Source organism: Homo sapiens, chromosome 17 (genome assembly GCF_000001405.40).
Source record: "Homo sapiens chromosome 17, GRCh38.p14 Primary Assembly".
Taxonomy (NCBI): domain Eukaryota; kingdom Metazoa; phylum Chordata; class Mammalia; order Primates; family Hominidae; genus Homo; species Homo sapiens.
The window spans coordinates 32,033,228-32,053,814 of NC_000017.11; the positions used below are offsets into that span (position 1 = coordinate 32,033,228).

General features: G+C 43.5%; 1 protein-coding gene and 1 pseudogene across 3 annotated transcripts in view, besides 1 other annotated feature; both read left to right on the top strand.

Annotated features, from left to right (window-relative positions):
- LRRC37B (leucine rich repeat containing 37B) overlaps positions 1-20,260 on the top strand; it is a 46,105-nt gene extending 25,845 nt beyond the window's left edge. For both annotated transcript variants that reach the window (NM_001321350.2, NM_052888.3), the window contains 7 exons: positions 1,683-1,754; positions 2,338-2,412; positions 12,473-12,591; positions 14,534-14,674; positions 15,875-16,167; positions 16,776-16,880; positions 20,039-20,260. In NM_001321350.2, coding sequence (NP_001308279.1) covers positions 1,683-1,754; positions 2,338-2,412; positions 12,473-12,591; positions 14,534-14,674; positions 15,875-16,167; positions 16,776-16,880; positions 20,039-20,101 — 868 coding nt within the window. In that variant the 3' untranslated portion in view covers positions 20,102-20,260. The remainder of the gene's footprint in view (positions 1-1,682; positions 1,755-2,337; positions 2,413-12,472; positions 12,592-14,533; positions 14,675-15,874; positions 16,168-16,775; positions 16,881-20,038) is intronic.
- On the top strand, positions 7,109-9,605 carry SH3GL1P1 (SH3 domain containing GRB2 like 1, endophilin A2 pseudogene 1; annotated as a pseudogene). The gene has a single exon (NR_033412.1). The product of NR_033412.1 is annotated as an SH3 domain containing GRB2 like 1, endophilin A2 pseudogene 1 (transcript).
- Positions 9,875-9,958: a non allelic homologous recombination region, noted in NCBI's record as "recombines with the NF1-REPa UWA160-1 recombination region". NCBI's record gives the evidence for it as "EXISTENCE:nucleotide sequencing assay evidence [ECO:0000219][PMID:15236313]".
- Positions 20,261-20,587: the final 327 nt, after the last annotated feature.

The window sequence follows — 20,587 nt, forward strand, 5'->3', positions numbered from 1 at the left end:
CTGGCTTCCCAAAGTGCTGGGATTATAGGCCTAAGCCACCAGGCCCAGCCAATAAATGGAAACTTTAACTCAAAAGAAGGAAGGAAGGAAGGGAGGAAGGGAGGGAGGGGAGGGAGGGAAGGGAGGGAAGGGAAAGAAGGAGGGAGGGAGGGAAATGAGGAAAGAAAGAGAAAGAAAGAAAGAAAGAAAAGAAAAAATTGTAAAACCATAAGGTTAAAGTAAACCTTTTTTCTTCATACAGAGTAAGCACGTGAGTTCAGATTACAGCTTTGCTTCTTCATAGCTTGGTGACCTAGGACAAGTTATGTAACCTCTCTGTGCCTCAGTTTCCTCATTTATAAAATAGGGCAATAATAATATCTACCACATAAGGTTATTGTGAGGATGAAATGTGAAATGCTGATCACAAATACGTAGCAGCCTAATAGATGCTCACTGTAAGAATTATTATTTTTATATTTTCTGCAAAAGTACAGTGATGATTCTTGGGTTAACCTAAAGCGTGATTTTCTTTTATTTCTTCCTGTTTCTTTTCTTTTTCTTGTTCACTTTAAAGAATTAAAAAGAAAATAGATTCCAGCATTTTGGAATAAAAATTCACATCAAAATGAATTTATTCATTTTATTGACAGATAAACAAAATGTCATTTGTTTATTCAATAAACATTTATTAAATCCCTAGTAAATTTCAGACATCATACCAGGCACAGTGATGACAATGACAATAAGATGTGGTCTCTGCCCTCAAGGAGCTGATAGCCCAGGAGACTGACAAGTAGACAGGTGGTTACATGCAGTGTAACGAAGGCTGTGATGTCATACAGGAAGACAAGTGGGAGTATGTGATGGGAGTATGGTTTTGACCAGTTCCTCCTCTTAGATTTATCCCTTTTTCTTTGGGTATAAAGCAAAAGAATTGGTCCTATTTTTTTTCCTTAACTGTGCAAATTAAACCATAAATTTAAAAAACTTTATAAAGATAAAAGGCAAGCAGTCAGGCGCAGTGTCTCAGGCCTGTAATCCTAACACTTTGGTAGGCCGAGGGGGGTGGATCACCTGAGGTTAGGAGTTGGAGACCAGCCTGTCCAACATGATGAAACTCCGTCTCTACTAAAAATACAAAAATTAGCTGGGCGTGGTGGTGGGCAACTGTAATCCCAGCTACTCAGGAGGCTGAGGCAGGAGAATTGCTTGAATCCAGGAGGTGGAGGTTGCAGTGAGCCAAGATGGAGCCATTGCTGTCCACCGCCTGGGTGACAGAGCAAGACTCCATCTCCAAAAAAAAAAAAAAAAAAAACAACTTGAATTATAGATGAACAACTTGTATTATGGAGGACACTAGAAATAGTGTTTCCTACAGAGTCAGGGCTTCCTACCAACATTGTCATTTCTAGGGTTTTTGACCTGAAAAGTTCTGTGGCATATTTTTTCTTTCCTATCCATTTCTTGTGTGTTTTTTTTTTCTATTTCTTCCCTGCTTTCTCTCCTCTACTTTATCTTCTAGAGACCTAGGTAGTTCCCAAAGGAATAGTGCTTTATGGAGTCTAATGGTGATTTATTATGTAAAAGCAGAAAATTATTTTTTTTACCTAAAAGTTCCATACCAAAAAATGAATATAGACTTTTTATGCAGTTTCACACATTGAAAATGCAGGTAATTTTAATTTCATTGCATTTTTCAGAATTCTCAATCGCAATCCTCTGACTACTGTCGAAGATCCATATCTCTTTGAACTGCCGGCATTAAAATATCTGTAAGTACTATAGTACTCTCATGAGTCATGAGATGATTTATGCTTTTTAAATTTGTCATCAAAGATAAAGTATTTTGCATTTAGGCTAAAAAGTCATAATTTAAATTTTAACTGAGTTATTGAAAAAAGTTATTGGCAAAGAAAAGGATTAAGAAAGGATGTATAATGGTCAAGACAGCCAGCGGGGGAAGAGATTAGTGTTGAAGAAGCCGTATAGATTTGGAACATGTAGACACATGGAGGAATATTACTTAACCAAGAAAGCAAAGAGAAATAGGTGTTCATTATTCTAAAAAGAAAGAAAAGAGTAAATCAAGATGGGTGAATGCAATATGAAATGAGAAGTAAGATAATGGTAAAAAAAAAAGTGTAAGTTCTCTTAAATATCATTAATTTGATGACGTAGATCAACTTAAATTTCTTTAATAAGATCTCTCTGGAATTTTACGGCAAATAAACTATTGAAGTGGCTTGTTTTATAGAGAAGCCAAAATAGAAGTAATCACATGTCCTTGAATTATCTTTTGAAGTACAGAATTTTGTAATGGGTTCATATCATGAATGTTTCGGCTTTCTTCTTCAGAGACATGGGAACAACACACATCACACTTACAACACTTAAGAACATTCTCACGATGACTGTTGAACTGGAAAAACTGTAAGTTATTTTTTCTTAGATTTATTTTTACTTAGTTGGTTTTTTAGGTTTGTTTTATTATTTTCTTAAGTCAGGTTTATTGAGATTTAATTTTCATATAACATTCACCCTTTATAAGTGTATAGTTTGATGAGTTTTGACAAATGTATAGTTACATAACCACCACCACATTCCCAATATAAAGCATTTCTGTCACCTCAGAAAGGCCCCTCATTTCCCTTTGTAGGCAATCCCTTCCTCCCACCATCAGCCCCTGTTAGCTACTAATCTGATTTCTGTTCCTAGTTTTGTCTTTTTCAGAATGTCTTATAAATGAAATCATGTAGCATGTAGCCTCTTGTGTTTGACTTCTTTCACTTAGTATTGTTTTTTATTTTTTTTGAGACGGAGTCTCACTGTCACTCAGGCTGCAGTGCAGAGGCATGACCTCAGCTCACTACGACCTCCGCCTCCCAGGTTCAAGTGGTTCTCCTGCCTCAGCCTTCTAAGTAGCTGGGATTACAGGTGTGTGCCACCATGCCCAGAAAATTTTCATATTTTTAGTAGAGATGAAGTTTCACCATGCTGGCCAGACTGGTTTCGAACTCCTGACCTCAAGTGATCTGCCCACTTCGGCCTCCCAAAGTGCTAGGTGTGAGCCACCTCGCCCGGCCTCACTCAGCATAATTTTTTTTGAGATTATGCTACCATCCATGTTGTTGCCCCTATCAGTACAGCTGGCCCTCCATATCTACATGTTCCTCATCCATGGATTCAACTAACCATGGATGGAGAATATTTGGAAAAAATAAAATATATAAAATAATACAACAATAAAACAGTAGAAAATTTAAAACACGGTACAATTATTTACATACCATTTACACTGTACTAGGTATTTAAAGTATACCCGAGGCTTATGTCATTTATTATATCAAGTATTATGTCATTCCATATAAAATATTTCAGCATCTGTGGACTTTGGTATCTGCAGGGGGTCCTGGAGCCAATCCCCTGCAGACACCGAGGGACAACTCTTCACTCCTTTTTATTGCTCAGTAGTATTCCAGTTGTGTGGATGTATCAATTTGTTTATCCATTCATCAATGTATAGACATTTGGGTAGCTTCCAATTTTTTGCAATTATGAATAAAACTCCTAAAAACACTCATATACAGGTCTTTGTGTGAACCAATGTTTTCATTTCTTTGGGTAAATACCTAGGAGTTGGATTCTTCACATGCTTAGTGTATATTTAACTTTTTAAGAAACTGCTGAACTGTTTCCTAAAGTGGCTGTGCCATTTTACATTTCCACCAGCGTTGTATGAGAGTCACAGTTGTTCCACATCTTCAGCATTTTTTTTTTTTTTTTTTTTTTTTTTTTTGCAACACAGTCTTGCTCTATCCCCAGGCTAGAGTGCAGTGGTGCCATATCGGCTCACTGCAACCTCTACCTCCTGAGTTCAAACAGTTCTCCTGCCTCAGCCTCCCAAGTAGCTGTAGGCACCCGCCACCACACCCAGCTAATTTTTATATTTTTAGTAGAGATAGGGTTTCACCATGTTGGCCAGGCTGGTCTTGAACTCCTGACCTCAATGGATCCACACCCCCTGGCCTCCCAAAGTGCTGTGGTTACAGGCGTGAGCCACCATGTCCAGCCCAGCAGATATTTTTTTGAGACAGAGTCATTGCTGAAGTGCAGCAGCAAGATCTCAGCTCACTGCAACCTCGGCCTCCCAGGTTCAAGTGATTCTCCTCCCTCAGCCTCCTGAGTAACTGGGATTATAGCCACACACCACCATGCCCAGCTAATTTTTATATTTTTAGTAGAGATGGGGTTTCATCTTGTCGGCCAGGCTGGTCTCAAACTCCTGGCCTCATTTGATTCACCTGCCTTGGCCTCCCAAAGTGCTGGGATTACAGGCGTGAGCCACGATGCATGGCCCAGCCCAGCAGATTCTTATATTTGAGTTTTTAAAGAAATGTTCACCTTTCTACTGCTAGATGTGTAGTGGAATCTCACTGGTTTTAATTTGCATTTCTTTAATAGCTAGTGATGTTGAATGTTCATGTGCAAATATCTTCTTTACTGTACTGTTCAAATCTGTTCCCATATTTTAATTGGATATTAATATTTTTATTGAGGCTTTTTTCCCCTGTTATCCCATTGGAGATTCATTATTATTGAGTTTTAAGAGTGCTTTAGGCCAGGCATGGTGGCTCATGCCTGTAATCCCAGTACTTTGGGAGGCCAAGGCGGGTGGATCACAAGGTCAGGAGATCAAGACCATCCTGGCTAACACAGTGAAACCCAGTCTCTACTAAATACACACACACACACACAAACACACACACAATTAGCCGGGTGTAGTGGCGGGCACCTTTAGTCCCAGCTACTCGGGAGGCTGAGGCAGGAGAATGGCGTTATCCCAGGGGGTGGAGCTTGCAGTGAGCAGAGATCACGCCACTGCACTCCAGCCTGGGCGACACAGTGAGACTCCATCTCAAACAAAAAAAAAAGAGTGCTTTATAGATTCTAGATACAAGTCTTTTCAGGGACCAGGTACAGTGGCTCATGCCTATAATCCCAGCACATTGGGAGGCTGAGGCAGGAGGATTGCTTGAGGCCAGGAGTTTTAGACCACCTGGGCAATATGGTGAAACCTTGTCTCTACCAAAAACATAAAAATTAGGCAGGTGCAGTGGTGCTCACCTGTGGTCCCAGCTACACGGGAAGCTGAGGTGGGAGGATTGCTTGAGCCTGGGAGGTCGAGGCTCTGCAGTGAGCTGTGATCACCACCGCACTCCAGCCTGGGTCACAGAGTGAGATACTATCTCAAAAATTAAATAAGTAAATAAATAAAAACAAAAAACAAGGCCTTATAGATATGTGTTTGGTAAATATCTTCTCTCAGATTGTGGTTTGTCTTTTCATTCTGTTAAAAGTGTTCTCTGGCTGGGCATAGTGACTCACACCTGTAATCACAGCACTTTGGGAGGCCGAGGCAGGTGGATCACCTGAAGTCAGGAGTTCGAGACCATCCTGGCCAACGTGGCAAAACCCCAATCTCCACTAAAAATACACAAATTAGCCAGTTGTGGTGGCCCATGCCTGTAATCCCGGCTACTCAGGAGGCTGAGGCACAAGAAGTGCTTGAACCTGGGAGGTGGAGGTTGCAATGAGCCAAGATTGCACCACTGCACTCCAGCCTGGGCAACAGAGTGAGACTCTGTCTCAAAAAAATAAAGAAAGAAAGAAAATAAATAAATAAAGTTTTGTGAAGAGCAGAAGTTTTTAATTTTGATCAGCTTTAAGTTAGCAATTTTTTCTTATATGGCTTGTGCTTTTTTGTTTCTTACCTAAGAAATCTTTAAGAACCTGTTGTTTAATCCAAAGTGGAAAAGATTTACTCTATATGTCTTCTCCCAGAAATTGTGTAGTTACATTTAGATCTATGATCCATTTTGAGTTAATTTGCATATATGGTGTGAGGTTTATTGTTTTTTTGTTTTTTTGCCATTTTATTTTTATTTTTTGGAGAAATGAGGTCTCACTGTGTTGTCCAGGCTGGTTTCGAACTCCTGGCCTCAAGTGATCCTCCGGCCTCGTTCTCCCAGAGTGCTGCAATTATAGGCATGAGGCATCATGCCTGGCCTTCTTTGTAGATATAGGTATAGATATATATCCGTCTATATCTATATATATCTTCACCAGGTGTGATGGCACACTCCTGTAGTCCCCGCTACTGGGGAGGCTGAGGCGGGGGTATCGCTTGAACCCAGGAGGTAGAGGTTGCAGTGAGCCAAGATGACACCACTGCACTCCAGCCTGGGTGACAGAGCAAGAACCTGCCTAAAAATATATATATATATATATATATATATATATATATATATATATATGTATGTATTTTTATATATATTTCTATATATATATTCTATATATATATTTCTATATATATTTTATATATTTATATATATTATATATATATATATATTTCTGCAAGGCCCTATTGTGAGTTTGTTACACAACTTACTGCAACTTAAATTGTGCCACCACCACCCCCCACAATATGGCAAGCTAAATAGAAACTCAGTTATGCTAAGGCTGGTTGAGGGCATTATGCAAGATTAGCATGGAAAGGGCCCTTCATTTGGCACTCTGCTCCGTTCATTTTTGTCAGGTCACTTTCTTATCTTCACCGGGCTGTCAGATCTGTTTTACTGCTCTAGCCTCACTTTCCTCAGCCTCCTACAGCATCTTCCCTGTAAGCTACATCCCTTCCTCTCTGGATGAAGTCCTCTTCATTGACCAACTTTCTCACTTAGTTCTCTAAGATAGTGAGGATCTGTCTGCTTTCTTCTTGACCATTAGTGGATAGGAAAAAAATGCTCTGATTTTCTGTAACCATTTGTCACCAAGGCCATAAAGACATTGAACTAATTTCCTTATTGGAGTTCATTATTGGAAGTCTTGAGGAGTTTACACATTTATCTACAAAGTAAGTAGGCCAGCTCATTTGTCTTGGCTCATGTGTAATCTTTAAAGCATATTGAAAAATTACTATTCTCAAGTAAGGATAATGTATATCTCAGGTCACTTACAGTCTCAAAGTTTTGTCAGTATACTTTAAAACAATCCTGCGAACAGATCTAGATTGAAGGAGACTAAAGAATCATGAACTCGAGGTGGCCCCGGGGCAGGCGCAGAGCTGGCAAGCACGTGGTGGGGCCCCTGAGGCGTGCAGAGGGTCACGCACCTGGGAGCCTGTTGCTGGCACGGTCCGGGCGGAGGTTCTGCGGCGGGAGGCAGCCTGTCGGTTGCAGGGCTGAAAAAGCAGTTCTACAAGGCAAGCCAGCTGGTCAGTGAGAAGGTCGGAGGGGCTGAGGGGACCAAGCTGGACGATGACTTCAAAGAGATGGAGATGTCATCAGCAAGGCGGTGACGGAAATGCTGGCAAGGACCATCAAGTACCTGCAGCCCAACCCAGCCTCACAGGCTAAGCTGACCATGCTCAACACAGTGTGCAAGATCCAGGGCCAGGTGAAGAACCCCGGCTACCCGCAGTTGGAGGGGCTCCTGAGCGAGTGCCTGATCCGCCACCAGAAGGAGCTGGGCAACGAGTCCAACTTCAGTGACGCACTGCTGGATGCCGGCGAGTCCATGAAGCACCTGGCAGAGGTGAAGGACTCCCTGGACATAGAGGTCAAGCAGAACTTCATTGACCTCCTCCAGAACCTGTGTGAGAAAGACCTGAAGGGGATCCAGCACCACCTGCAGAAGCTGGAGGGCCGCCGCCTGGACTTTGACTAAAAGAAGCGGCAGGGCAAGATCCCCGATGAGGAGCTGCGTCAGGCGCTGGAGAAGTTTGAGGACTCCAAGGAGGTAGCAGAAACCAGCATGCACAACCTCCTGGAGACCAACATTGAGCAGGTGAGTCAACTCCGGGCCCTGGCGGAGGCGCAGCTGAACTACCACTGGCAGGCCATGCAGATCCTGGACGAGCTGGCAGAGAAGCTCAAGCGCAGGATGCGGGAAGCTTCCTCACGCCCCAAGCGGGAGTATAAGCCCAAGTTCTGGGAGCCCTTTGACCTCGGAGAGCCTGAGCAGTCCAATGGGGGCTTCCCCTGCACCACAGTCCCCAAGATTGCAGCTTCATCCCCTTTCCGATCTTCCGACAAGTCCATCTGGACTCCTAGCAGGAGCATGCCGCCCCTAGACCAGCCAAGCTGCAAGGTGCTGTATGACTTCCAGCCTGAGAACCATGGGGAGCTGGGCTTCCATGAGGGTGACGTCTTCACGCTGATCAACCAGATCAACGAGAACTGGTACCAGGGCATGCTGGACAGCCAGTTGGGCTTCTTCCTGCTCAGCTACATGGACGTGCTCATGCCTCTGCCCAGTGACTCACTGGTGCCCCCGCCCCGCCCCTCCATCCACACTGGGTGGCACCCCCGCCAGGTCTCCTGCCTTCCATGGGCTCCTGCTGCCAAGGCGGTGTCCAAGCCTGCCGGCGCCACCCAGGCCCGGGCCCTTGAGGTACTCCCTCAGCAGGGAGCCACACTTGGGTGGGAGGCTTATCTGGGTGGGTGGGGACGCTTGTTTAAACTAGCGCTGACCCCTAACGGTGACGGCTCCCTTCCTCACTCCATGGCGCCGGCCTCCTCCCTGCTCCCCAACTCCTCACCCAGCTGGCCCAGACGGGGCAACACTAAGGTGCTCTCAGAAACACTAATGTTCCTCCAGGGCAGCCCCCACCTCCGTCCTGACCCCATGGGGGCCCAGCCCACAGCCTACCCTCGAGTTCCACGGCCTTAACAGGCTTGGATCGAGTGTCCCTGTGGGGTGGCTCAGAGACAGGACCCTGGTTTTAAATCCCTCCACAAGCCTGCTCCTGGCGATGAACCCTAGCCCCACTCCAGGGCCACAGTACCCCAGCCTCACACATGCACTCCTTCTCCCCAAGGCCAGGGCAGAGGGCCTCACTGTTTCCCTGGCCTGCTGTCAGCTTGCAACCAGGAGACAGAGGCCAGCTGGGATCTGCCCCACCTTCCCCCCCATACTGCTCCCCTCAACCAGGACAGAGAACATGGCCTCCTCTAGGGCCCTGCCTCCCAAGCCTTACCCTCACACACCAAGTACCTTTTCAGCTTTTTAACTGCCCCCAGCCAGGCCCACGGAAGCCTGTGTCACTCTGGCACAAGCTGCCACCACCAGCCACCTACACACCCCCCCAGCACACCTCGCACGGGACCACAGCCCCAGCCGTGCTGCTAAGGGCCAAGCACAAAGGCTCCAGTGAGCAAATGTTCAAGCCCCTGGTAGCCAGGCCTCCCCTTGCCAAGCCGCTGCCACCCCACCCTGTGGGAAGTGGCCCCCAGCCATCTCCTCTAGACCACGGCAGGCAGCCCCGGGGTCCCCAGACCCCTGTCCAGGCCAGCATGTCTGCAGCCCCGACATCTGCTTCCTCTGTCGCCCAATCCAAAATCGACGAAATGGAGGGTCCTCTGGGCTGGGCCACATTCACATTCCCTTCCCCCTGAGGCCCAGCAAAGCCTCCGGACCCCAGGCTCTGCTCTGCACCCTCGTGGTCGGCAGTACATGAAGGGCACAGACACCCTGGCAGAGATGAGCACACAGCCTTGGGCACGGTTCAGGGCAAACTGAAATGTATGCCCGAATTTTGTAAACAGAAGTATTAAAGGTCTTTCTACAAAAAAAAAAAAAATCATGAACACAAAATGCAATGTCTGATGTTTGATTGGATTCTGAATTTTTTAAGCCATGTTATGATTGGGACAATTGTGAAAATGTGTATATGGAATGCATAGTAGGCAATGATAATATTAAGTTCCATTGGGTGATGAGAGTCTTCTGGTTATGGAGGAGAATGCATTGGTTCTTAGGGGCTGCACACTGAAGTCTTTAATGGTGAAGGGTCATTATGTCTGCAACTGACTCTCAAATGGTTTGTCCAGAAAATGTATAAACATACACACATGGAAAGGAAATGTGGCAAAGTATTAGCTACTGTTGATTCCAGATGAAAGTTATACAGGTGTTCATTATACCATTTGAAAATGCTTCCTAGCCATCCTAAGCCTTAAAGGAAAAAAAGAAAATGTTTAAAATCAAAAGCTGGAGGCAGGAAGAGAATAACAAAACCTTTGGGCTCATGCCTGTAATCCCAGCACTTTGGGAGGCCAAGGAGAGGGGGTTGCTTGAGCTCAGGAGTTTGAGACCAGCCTGGGCAACGTGGTGAAACCCCATCTCTACAAAAAATACAAAAATGAGCCAGGTGTGGTGGCACGCACCTGTAGTTCTAGCTACTCAGGAGGCTGAGGCGGGAGGATCACTTGAGCCCAGGAGACAAAGGCTGCAGTGAGCCGAGATTGCACCACTGCACTCAACCTGTGTAACAGAGCGAGACTCAGCCTCAAAACAAAAGAAACATCTTTGTGTCAGAGTTAAGGTTGCTATATAAGTAAAATGCTAGGTTATGGTTCTGGGTACATTCAATCTATATGAAGATCAGAGGCTTCTATTGGACCCAAAGGAATACGAGTCACTTGTGATTATTCCTCTATAGGTTTGAAAGATGTATCAGGCCAACTTACTGGATACAGTTTTAATTTAAAACTCTATACATCATACCCCCAACTCACAGACTTCATGTATCCATTGAATACTCTTCTGTTTCCACAGTCTTAATGTGGCCCTAACAAAGTCATCCTTTTAGAGGACTCAAAAGAGGCCCCCCCTACAACTTCTATAATGTAATATTTACAGTAGTTAACATTTATTGATCACTCAGTGTGTGCCAGACATTTTTCAGGTAGGGATTCATTTAATCCTCAAAACTCATTTGAGGTAGGTACTATTATAATGACAAGGCCAAGGAACAGAGATTAAGCAATTTGCCCAAATTTACATTATTCACAGAGCTGGGATTTAAGCCTAGTCTGGCTGTGGAATCTGTATTCTTAATGACCATGCTATACTGCTTAAGATTAACCTTGAGAATTTATTCCAGTTACAGAGATTGTTTTTATTTCTCTGAAACTGCCCCCAAGAAGCCATAACAATAAATTAATCAATTATCTTGGTTATCTCTTTTGCCCAAATTTATATTTTGAAAAAAATTCAAACATGCCAGAAAGATGAAAGAATACTACAGAATCCAGTCAAAGATCAGGCACTGCATGTCATGTCTTCATTTCCTTTAATCTAAAACATGCCTCTACTTTTTTTGATCTTTCATGACATTGGCATTTTTTGAGTCAAAGATAGTTGTCTTGTAAGTTGTCCCACAATCTGGATTTCTCTGTTTCCACATGAGATTCAAGGTAAGCATCTTTGGGAAGAATACTGCATAGGTGACGTATCTTTCCTGCCTCGTGACCCCAGGTGGCTCATAATGCTAAGTTTGATCACTTGTTTAAGGTGATCTTCCAGATCTCTCCACTGTGGTTATTTTGCTGGGTGTGGTGGCTCACACTTGTAATCCCAGCACTTTGGAAGGCCGAGATGGGCAAATCACTTGAGTCCAGTTTTAGACCAGCCTGAACAACAAGGTGAAACCCTGTCTCTACTAAAAATAACAAAAATAAAAAACTAAAATTAGCTGGGGTGGTGGTGCAAGCCTATAGTCCCATCTATCTGGGGGGCTGAATTTGGAGGGTCACTTGAGCCCAGGGGGTCGAGGCTGCAGTTAGCTATGATTTTGCCACTGTACTTCAGCCTAGGTGACAGACTGAGACCTTGTCTCATAAAAAAATAAAAAATAACTTTTCCCTTTGATAATTAATAAAAAATCTGTGGGGTGGTACTTTGAGATCAGTGAAGATCCTGTTCTCAAATGTCTTTTCACCCAACTCCATCAGTGATAATCTTTGTCTGAATCTATTTTTATTACATTGGTGGTTGCAAAGTGACACTTTTTAAAATTCTGTCATTCCTTCTACATTTATTAGCTATCATTATTTCATTAAAGAACAACTCCCCCTCTTTTAAAATATCATTCTTCATGGATTTTTTATATATTATGTTGTAGCTTATTGTTGTTATTCTTTTGAATGCTCAAATTGTCCAGATTTGGCCAATGCAATCTCCGTTATTTTTTTTAACCCCACAATCCAGGTTAAGCTGAGCTATTTTTAATGCCTAGAGTAATTTCTAATACTTCCCACTCCCAACAGAAATTGAGAAAGGGCCTTCAGAAGTTGGGGGCTTATTCAGACTCTTCTTAGAAGTCTACCTTCTTCCTGTATCTTTCAGCCCAAAGTGAGACTTTTGAGTCGGGAAGAGATACCTCTGAATTTAAACTACTGATCAGTGTCACCCAATTCTAATCCCAACCACCTTTATTCTAGGCATACCATACTCACTGCCATGCTTACCCTTCAGTTGGGCACCTGTGTCCTCCTTCCCATTGGCCTTCTGGTTCCTACCCAAGTGTCCAGTCCACGGGTCTCAGTAACACCTCTTTGCCCAGCCCTGTGGTAGCGTTGGCTGCCTCCTTTACCTACTCAAGTAACCGCTTTACCACTAATTTATTGTTTTGTGTTTTCATCTATAGGATCTTACCTAGCCATATGGCCTGCTGCCTCTGCCAATTTAAAAATAGCATTGAGGCTGTCTGCAAGACAGTCAAGCTGCATTGCAACACTGCATGTCTGACTAACAGCATACATTGTCGTGAGTCCAAATTGCCTGGTGATAAATTGTTACATTATTTTAAGTATTTGTTTTTAAATTTTTATTTTTAATTGATGAAATTTTAAGCTGATGATATAATTGTTTTATTTACTCAGTCAGATTTCAACTCCCTCAACTTCTGAATGACTCCCTTGCTGGGAGTCAGGTTCTCAGTTATTATTACAAAATTTAATAATGGAACAGTTCCATATGCATAAAGGACCAAGAGAAAGAAATGGGAAGGCTAGGGAATAACATTAACATCCACACACTGTGTACTGTGCTCTCTGCTTGGTGCTTTGCCCCCAGTGATAATTTCTTCATATAGTGCAATGTAGTTTGTAAGCTGGTTTTATATCTGTGAGGTCTCAAGTACTCTCTGCCTTTTAGGACAGATGTAGATCCGGTTTTGTTTTTGTTTTTGTTTTTACAGTTTTATAAGAGTAGAAGTGATGCTGTTTTATTTGAAGCCTGAGAGCTTCTGGTTCCATAACCAGAAATTGCTACCTGGCTCTTCTATTGGAATGGGGCTTTTCCATTCTTAGTCCATCCAACTCTGAACTTGCTCTGAATCTCAAACCTTTCTATTCGCAGAACAAATGCTCAAGTTTTTTCAAGAGTTTTTCTGTAGATTAGGTTTATTAGCACCAACTTCATGACTTCTAAAATGTGACTGCTTGAATACAGGTATCTACCAGTGATATGGGGTGGATAATTAATAATGCTTGGCTACTTCTATAAAGACAGTGTTGCTTATTTTTCAAAACTTTTTCTTTTTTTCTTTTTTTTTTTTTTTTTTACCAATTATATTCTTCCCTTCTCCCCAAGAGGTGGGCAGAAAAGCATTGTTAATCTCCTTTTACAGGTGAGGAAAAACAAGATCAGAGGTGCTAAGTGCTGTAGCCTAGTGCCAGGTCTTCTGTCCCCAATTCTGGGTTCTCCCCAAGCCCATGTTTCTCCTTTCTCGCAATCTTTACTTCTTCCGCTGACCTTCAGCACCACCCAAAATACTTTTAATTCTGGAAAAGAAGCCCAGCTGCACACTGGCACACTTGACCTTCATGCAGTCAGAAGCTTTGGATGGTTCCCCATCCAAAATATTAGAGATGAATGAAAGTGAAGTAGGCATCTGACAAAAGTCACTTTTTCCCTTCTGCATTTAGGACCTCAAGTAATGTTTATCCAGAAACTGCTACCATACCATAGATTCATTGTATATTTAACAACATAGGCATACAATCTGGCAAATTAAAAATCTCTTAACCTACACCCTGGATCCCTGCCCAAATTTAAGAAAAGAACTAAGGTGGACACAGTGTTTTTTTCCATGTCGCATCTTCTGTGATGGGGCTATGATATGTGGGAGCAGAGAATGGGGTGGGTGGGTGGAGCACATGCCAGATGAGGATCTATCAGCAATGGGAGGGGGCATCCCGCCCTGCTCCTTTAGCATCTCCACCCTGCTCCTCTCAGAGGACCGCCTTTGATTGCATTCAGCTGCGATGGTAGCAAGAACACGGGCACACTGAGGATGAGGAGAGTGGGAGCCTTGTGCTCTCTCTGCATATGAGGCAGGACAGCACAGGGTATGGAGCAGTCTGCAGAGAGGCCAGTTCATCAGCTCATCAGGGAAGCACTTGTCTTCCACCTTGGGCTTTGACTGAGCACTGGGCAATTGGCCCCTGGGGATCAACGGAATAATCCTAAGCAGAGTTACTCTATGTCACACTATGGAATGTTCCAAGTAGGTGGCCATGTCTTTTCCTCCTTTCGTTGTTGCCATTTCATAGGTTTAGGTTTGGGTGTATGTTTCTCCTCTCTGAATGGCACTCGAATGTTTGCTGACTCTTACTCTGTGTGACTGGGGCATATAGCTATGGACTGAGTATGAAAGATGATCAAAGATATTTCATGATCAAAGCAGTCTCTTCTTTTCTGACAGCTGAAGAAGCATCTGTAGGGAATCCAGAAGGAGCGTTCATGAAGATGTTACAAGCCCGGAAGCAGCACATGAGCACTCAGCTGACTATTGAGTCGGAGGCGCCCTCAGACAGCAGTGGCATCAACTTGTCAGGCTTTGGGGGTGAGCAGCTAGACACCAATGACGAGAGTGATGTTAGCAGTGCACTAAGTTACATCTTGCCTTATCTCTCACTGGGAAATCTAGGTGCAGAATCAATATTGTTACCGTTCACTGAACAGCTATTTTCAAATGTACAAGATGGAGATAGGCTCCTGAGTATTTTGAAAAACAATAGAAAGAGCCCCTCACAGTCCAGCCTTCTAGGTAACAAATTTAAAAACCAAATATTTGAAAAAAAAATTAGAAACTGTGCAACCACAGGAAAACAGCCTGGCAGATTCAAAGTGTAGGCAAAAACCTGCAGAGAGTGAACAGAGTCCTCATGGGCCCAAGGAGCATCCAGGAAAGGCACTTCAAAAAGGTGGGAAAGCACAGCACTAGGAAAGAACAGGATGCCCAGGCATTTGTGGACAATGCTGCCAAAGGAAAAAGGCTTGAGGGTCCAGCCCCAAGGGAGCTGGAACAGCCTCACATAGTGCAGGGGCCTGAGAAGGTAGTGGGAAACACCATCTACACCAAGCCTTCATTCACCCAAGAGCATAAGGCAGCAGTCTCCTCTGTGCTGAAACCCTTCTCCATGGGCGTGCCTTCTGCCTCTAGCCCTGCAAAAGCCCTACCTCAGGTCAGAGACAGATCGAAAGACTTAGCCTACACCATTTTAATTTTAGAAATGGCAATGGCTAGAGTGAAAAACATGAAGGCTGCTAAACCAATCACACATTCCAGAAAAAAATACCGCTTTTATAAAACTCACTCCCGTGTGGCCCACAGAACACCGAAGGCCAAAAAGATTAGAAAGTTTAGAAAGGGCAGTTATCTCAACAGACCGATGCTCGCAAAGAGGCCGCTGTTCTCTGCAGCGAAGAGCCTCATAAATTCGCAAGGGGTTTTTTCATCCTTAGGAGACCTGAGTCCTCAAGAAAACCCTCTTCTGGAAGTAGTTGCTCCTTCAGAACGTTTTATAGAAAACACTAGTGTAAAAGACACAACTAATGTAAAAGACACAAAAGAGATGTGTTCAAAGACACATCTCTGAAAACACAAACTACAATCATCCTCCTGAGGCAGTTTCCGCTGGGACTGCATTCAACTTAGAACCAACTGTTAAACAAACTGAGACAAAATGGGAATACAACAATGTGGGCATTGACTTGTCCCCTGAGCCCAAAAGCTTCAATTACCCATTGCTCTCGTCCCCAGGTGATCAGCTTGAAATTCAGCTAACCGAGCAGCTACGGTCCCTCATCCCCAACGAGGATGTGAGAAAGTTCATGTCTCATGTTATCCGGACCTTGAAAATGGAATGTTCAGAAACACATGTGCAAGGGAGCTGTGCCAAGCTCATGTTGCGAACAGGCCTCCTGATGAAGCTTCTCAGCGAGCAGCAGGAAGCAAAGGCATTGAATGTAGAATGGGATACGGACCAACAAAAAACAAATTATATTAATGAGAACATGGAACAGAATGAACAGAAAGAGCAGAAGTCAAGTGAGGTGAGGACCACACAGAAACATGAGACCCAGATTTCCCATCATTTAGCGTATGCCAGGAGAGTGCCCACATAGGAGAACCTGGGACTCCCAGGCCATAGCTTGTCTTGGCCATGTAACTTTGGCCATGACAGTGATCTCCCACTTTGCTCATGTAGACAGTGAAATAGATTAGGGCACAAGATGAACTGTAGGCCGGGGGTGGTAGCTCATGCCTGTAATCCCAGCACTTTGGGAGGCCGAGGTGGGTGGATCACTTGAGGTCAGGAGTTTAAGACCAGCTCGGCCAACGTAGTGAAACCCCGTCTTCACAAAAAATACAAAAATTAGCTGCGTGTGGTGACACGTGCCTGTAGCCCCAGCTACTCAGGAGGCTGAGGTGGGAGGATCACCTGAGCCCAGGGAGGTCGAGTCAGTAGTGAACTGTGATCGCACCACTGTACTCCCGCCTGGGTGACAGAGTGAGATCCTGTCTCAAAAAAAATAAAAAGAACAAAAGAACCTGTAAGCTACTCAACTGGCATACTGGGGTTTTGAAAAGTTAGCTTCCATTCTCTCTCTCTTTTTTTTTAATTGTTCTTTCTTTTTTCTTTTTTTTTTCTTTTTTTTAGCTCATGAAAGAAGTTCCAGGAGATGACTATAAGAACAAACTCATCTTCGCAATATCTGTGACTGTAATACTAATAATTTTGATTATAATTTTTTGTCTTATAGAGGTAAGGACAATAATTAATTCAGGTTTTCAGAATACAATCCTGTGTTTGTGTGGATTCAGAATCCACAAACTGAAAACCAACGTCACTTTCCCACTTGACATTCTTCTTCTGTCATTTAAGGCTGAGGTGTGCTTTGTTCTTTTACTGCAATGTATATTCCAGGATTGTTAAAGGATCCTCGCTTCCAGGAGGTCTCTGTGAAATAAAACCAAGTTAATCCCACTAGACTATTTTAAGAAGTTAAGTTGATATAATAGCAAAATTTCTCCCACCCAAAACTATGTCAACAATTGGATGTACTCACTGAGTCACCCCTTACTCTGCCACTAATTTATTTCCTTGTTGCTTAAATGATGAGAGACATATAATCTCCACCCTCACGGAGTTGTAATCACCCTGGAGAGGAAGAAGACAGCCAAAAGAGAGAAGTATTGTCTTGTAGACTTATTAGATTCACATAGTATCATCCTTCTCCAGTGTGTAAGGTGTTGTCTAAATAGGTCCAGTTAAAGAACTACAGGGTAGCCATTTTTAAAAAAAAATTTTGGCCACGTTTTCAAATTCACAGGGGAGGGGGAATGTCTCATACTCCAGCCCTCCTGAGCCTAGGCCCTCTGTGAGATGTGTCACCATTTCTTGGACACCATATGAGACATTCCCCCTCGGATTAGAGATGCTCAACCTGCATCAACAAATCTAAAGCCTACATCTGGCTACCCTGGGGCGAGTCCTGTTTACAGTGCCCATTCCTGGAGCTCGCCTCTTTTTGCCTTTTGTTTGATTATGTGATGTATTACTTTTCCCAGCAGGCCAGTGCTAGCACACTGGAAGAGGGATTTAATAAGCTGGCACCCTTGATGCTATGCTCCTAATCCAACCTTATTTGCCTCATTGGCCATTTCCATTATGGTGGCAGCCCTCCATTCCAGCCACAGCAGCCCCTCAGCGTCCCCCAGTCACACCGTCCCCATTGCTGCTTATCTGTGCCTTTGTCCATCTACAATGCCCTTATTTCACTCTGCCTGTGGGAGTCCTGTGAATCTCTCCAAAGCCAACTCAGTTCATCTTTCTGCTTGAAACCTTCCCTGAATAGGCCAGGTGCGGTGGCTCACGCCTGTAATCCCAGCACTTTGGGAGGCCAAGGCAGGCAGATCACAAGGTCAGGAGATGGAGACCATCCTGGCTAACACAGTGGAACCCCGTCTCTACTAAAAATGCAAAAAATTAGCTGGGTGTGGTGGCGGGCGTGTGTCGTCCCAGCTACTTGTGAGGCTGAAGCAGGAGAATGGCATGAACCTGGGAGGTGGAGCATGCAGCCAGCCAAGATCAGGCTGCTGCACTCCAGCCTGGGGGACAGAGCGAGACTCTGCCTCAAAAAAAAAAAAAAAAAAAGAAAGAAAGAAACTTCCCTGAATATTCCAGCCCTCCTGAGCCTAGTCCCTTTTTGAGATTTGTCCCCATTTCTTGGACACCATATGAGAGACTTCAGAGGCTGAAGTGGGAGGATTGCTTGAGCCTGGGAGGTCGAGGATGCAGTGAGCTGTGGTCATACCACTGCACTCTAGCCTGGGCAACAGAGCGAGACCTTGTCTCAAAAACAGCCACCACCAAAAACTATCTTGGGATTTGAATAGGATTACCTTAAATTTGTAGATAAATTTGAGAATTGACATCTGTACGACATTCTAGAACATGGTATTTCATGTCATGAATTCATTTCTTGTTAATGTCTTTCAGAAGAGTTTTAGGGTTTCCATCATATAGATCTTACACATCTTTTGTTAGATAACAGATCTTTGTATTTTTGTTCCTAAATACTTCAGACATTTGTATTGCCATTGTAAATGGGATCTTTCTTCCATTTTCTAGTTAGTTATTGGTGGTACATCTGAAAAGCATTTGAGGTTTGTGTGCTGCTCTCTTGATTTTGTTTCTAGCCACCGTACTGAATTCTCATATTACTTCCAGTAAAATCTTAGTTGATTCTCTTAGGCTTCTTTGGCTAACATTTATTATTTTATATGCAAATAATGACAGTTTTGTCTCTTCCTTTTCAATACTTACACTCTTTCCTTCCTTTCCTTTCTTTTTTTTTTCTTTCTCAGGGCCTTGTTGTCACCCAGACTGGAGAGCAATGGTGTGATCTAGCTCACTGTAACCTCAAACTCCTGGGCTTAAGGGATCCTCCTGCCTCAGCTTCCTGAGTGGCTGGGACTACAGGCAGGCAGTGAATTTGAAAACTTTTGTTGTAGAGACAAGATCTTGCTATGTTGCCCAGGCTGGTTTTCCTGCCACTTTAGAGCAGGTTTCCTTTTTTTCATACTTTTAAGAGTTTTTTATTAGGAATTGTCCGCTGAATGTTAGCTAAAACAGTCAATAAAATGCGTTAAGTACCAGCTGCATGCAAGACCCTAAGTTAGATACAGTCAGCCCTCTTCATCAGCAGGTCCACATCTTCAGATTCAACTAGATAAGGCTGAATATTTGAAGAAAGAAACAATAAAAATACAATTAGAAAGTACAGTATAACAACTGTTGTCATTATACAATATCTATACATTTTATTAGTGATGACCTAAAGTACATGGGACCAGGCACGGTGACTCACACTTGTAATCCCAACACTTTGGGAGGCCAACCTGGGCAGCATAGTGAGACCTTGTCTTTAATAAAAATAAAAATAAAAAAATTAGCTAGTGTGGTGGTATGCACCTGTAGTCCCAGCTACTCAAGAGGCTGAGGTGGGCAGATCACTGGAGCCCAGGAGGTTGCGGCTGCTGTGAGCTGTGATTGTGACACTGCTCTCCAGCCTGAGTGACAGAGGGTGATCCTGTCTCTAAGTAAGTAAATAAATAAAGTATATGGGGGGGGGTGTGTTGGTTATATGCAGACACTGCACCATTATACGTAAGGTATTGAGCATCCACAGATTCTGGTATGGTGTGGGGGCGATATCCTAGAACCAGTCCTCTGCAAGGTAGCAAGGATGACTGAACTGTGGAAGAATCAAAGCACTGTTAAACAGCATACAATTCCTGTCTTCAAAAAAGTTATCTCATCGGGTAGATGAGACTTAAAATGAATAAAAGGAATGAATACACATTGGAGATAGTGGTTGTTGTGATAGATAACCTTAATTGTGTTTTCTTCCAAAACAGGTGAATTCACATAAAAGGGCATCAGAAAAATACAAAGACAACCCATCAATATCAGGAGCCTGAGCATGAGTTAAAGCATGTGGATGGCCTGGAGCTATGTTTTTAAAATTGTTATTAAATATTGGTTTTTTACTTAAATCAATGAAAACTTTCTTTACTTTGTGGTTGTGTTCCTCAAAATGAGAATTTTTAACAATAATAAAAATAAAGCTTGTTAGATCATTTTTAATGGTAATAAATTGGTTACTGAAGATTTGACTAAAGAGAAAACTAGGCCAATCTAAGTAGAGTCCAAATGAAGTAGAAAGTCCATAGAGAACAGGCAAAAAGGAAGTTGTGGAACCACAGACAGTAAAAGGAAAAAATTGGCGGGGCGCAGTGGCTCATACCTGTAATCCCAGCACTTTGGGAGGCTGAGGTGGGTGGATCGCTTGAGCCCAGTTCAGGCAACATGACAAAACCCCCATCTCTACAAAAAAAATGGTCAACATGACAAAACCCCCAATGTCTACAAAAAAATACACAAAACACATGAGCCAGGGGTGGTGG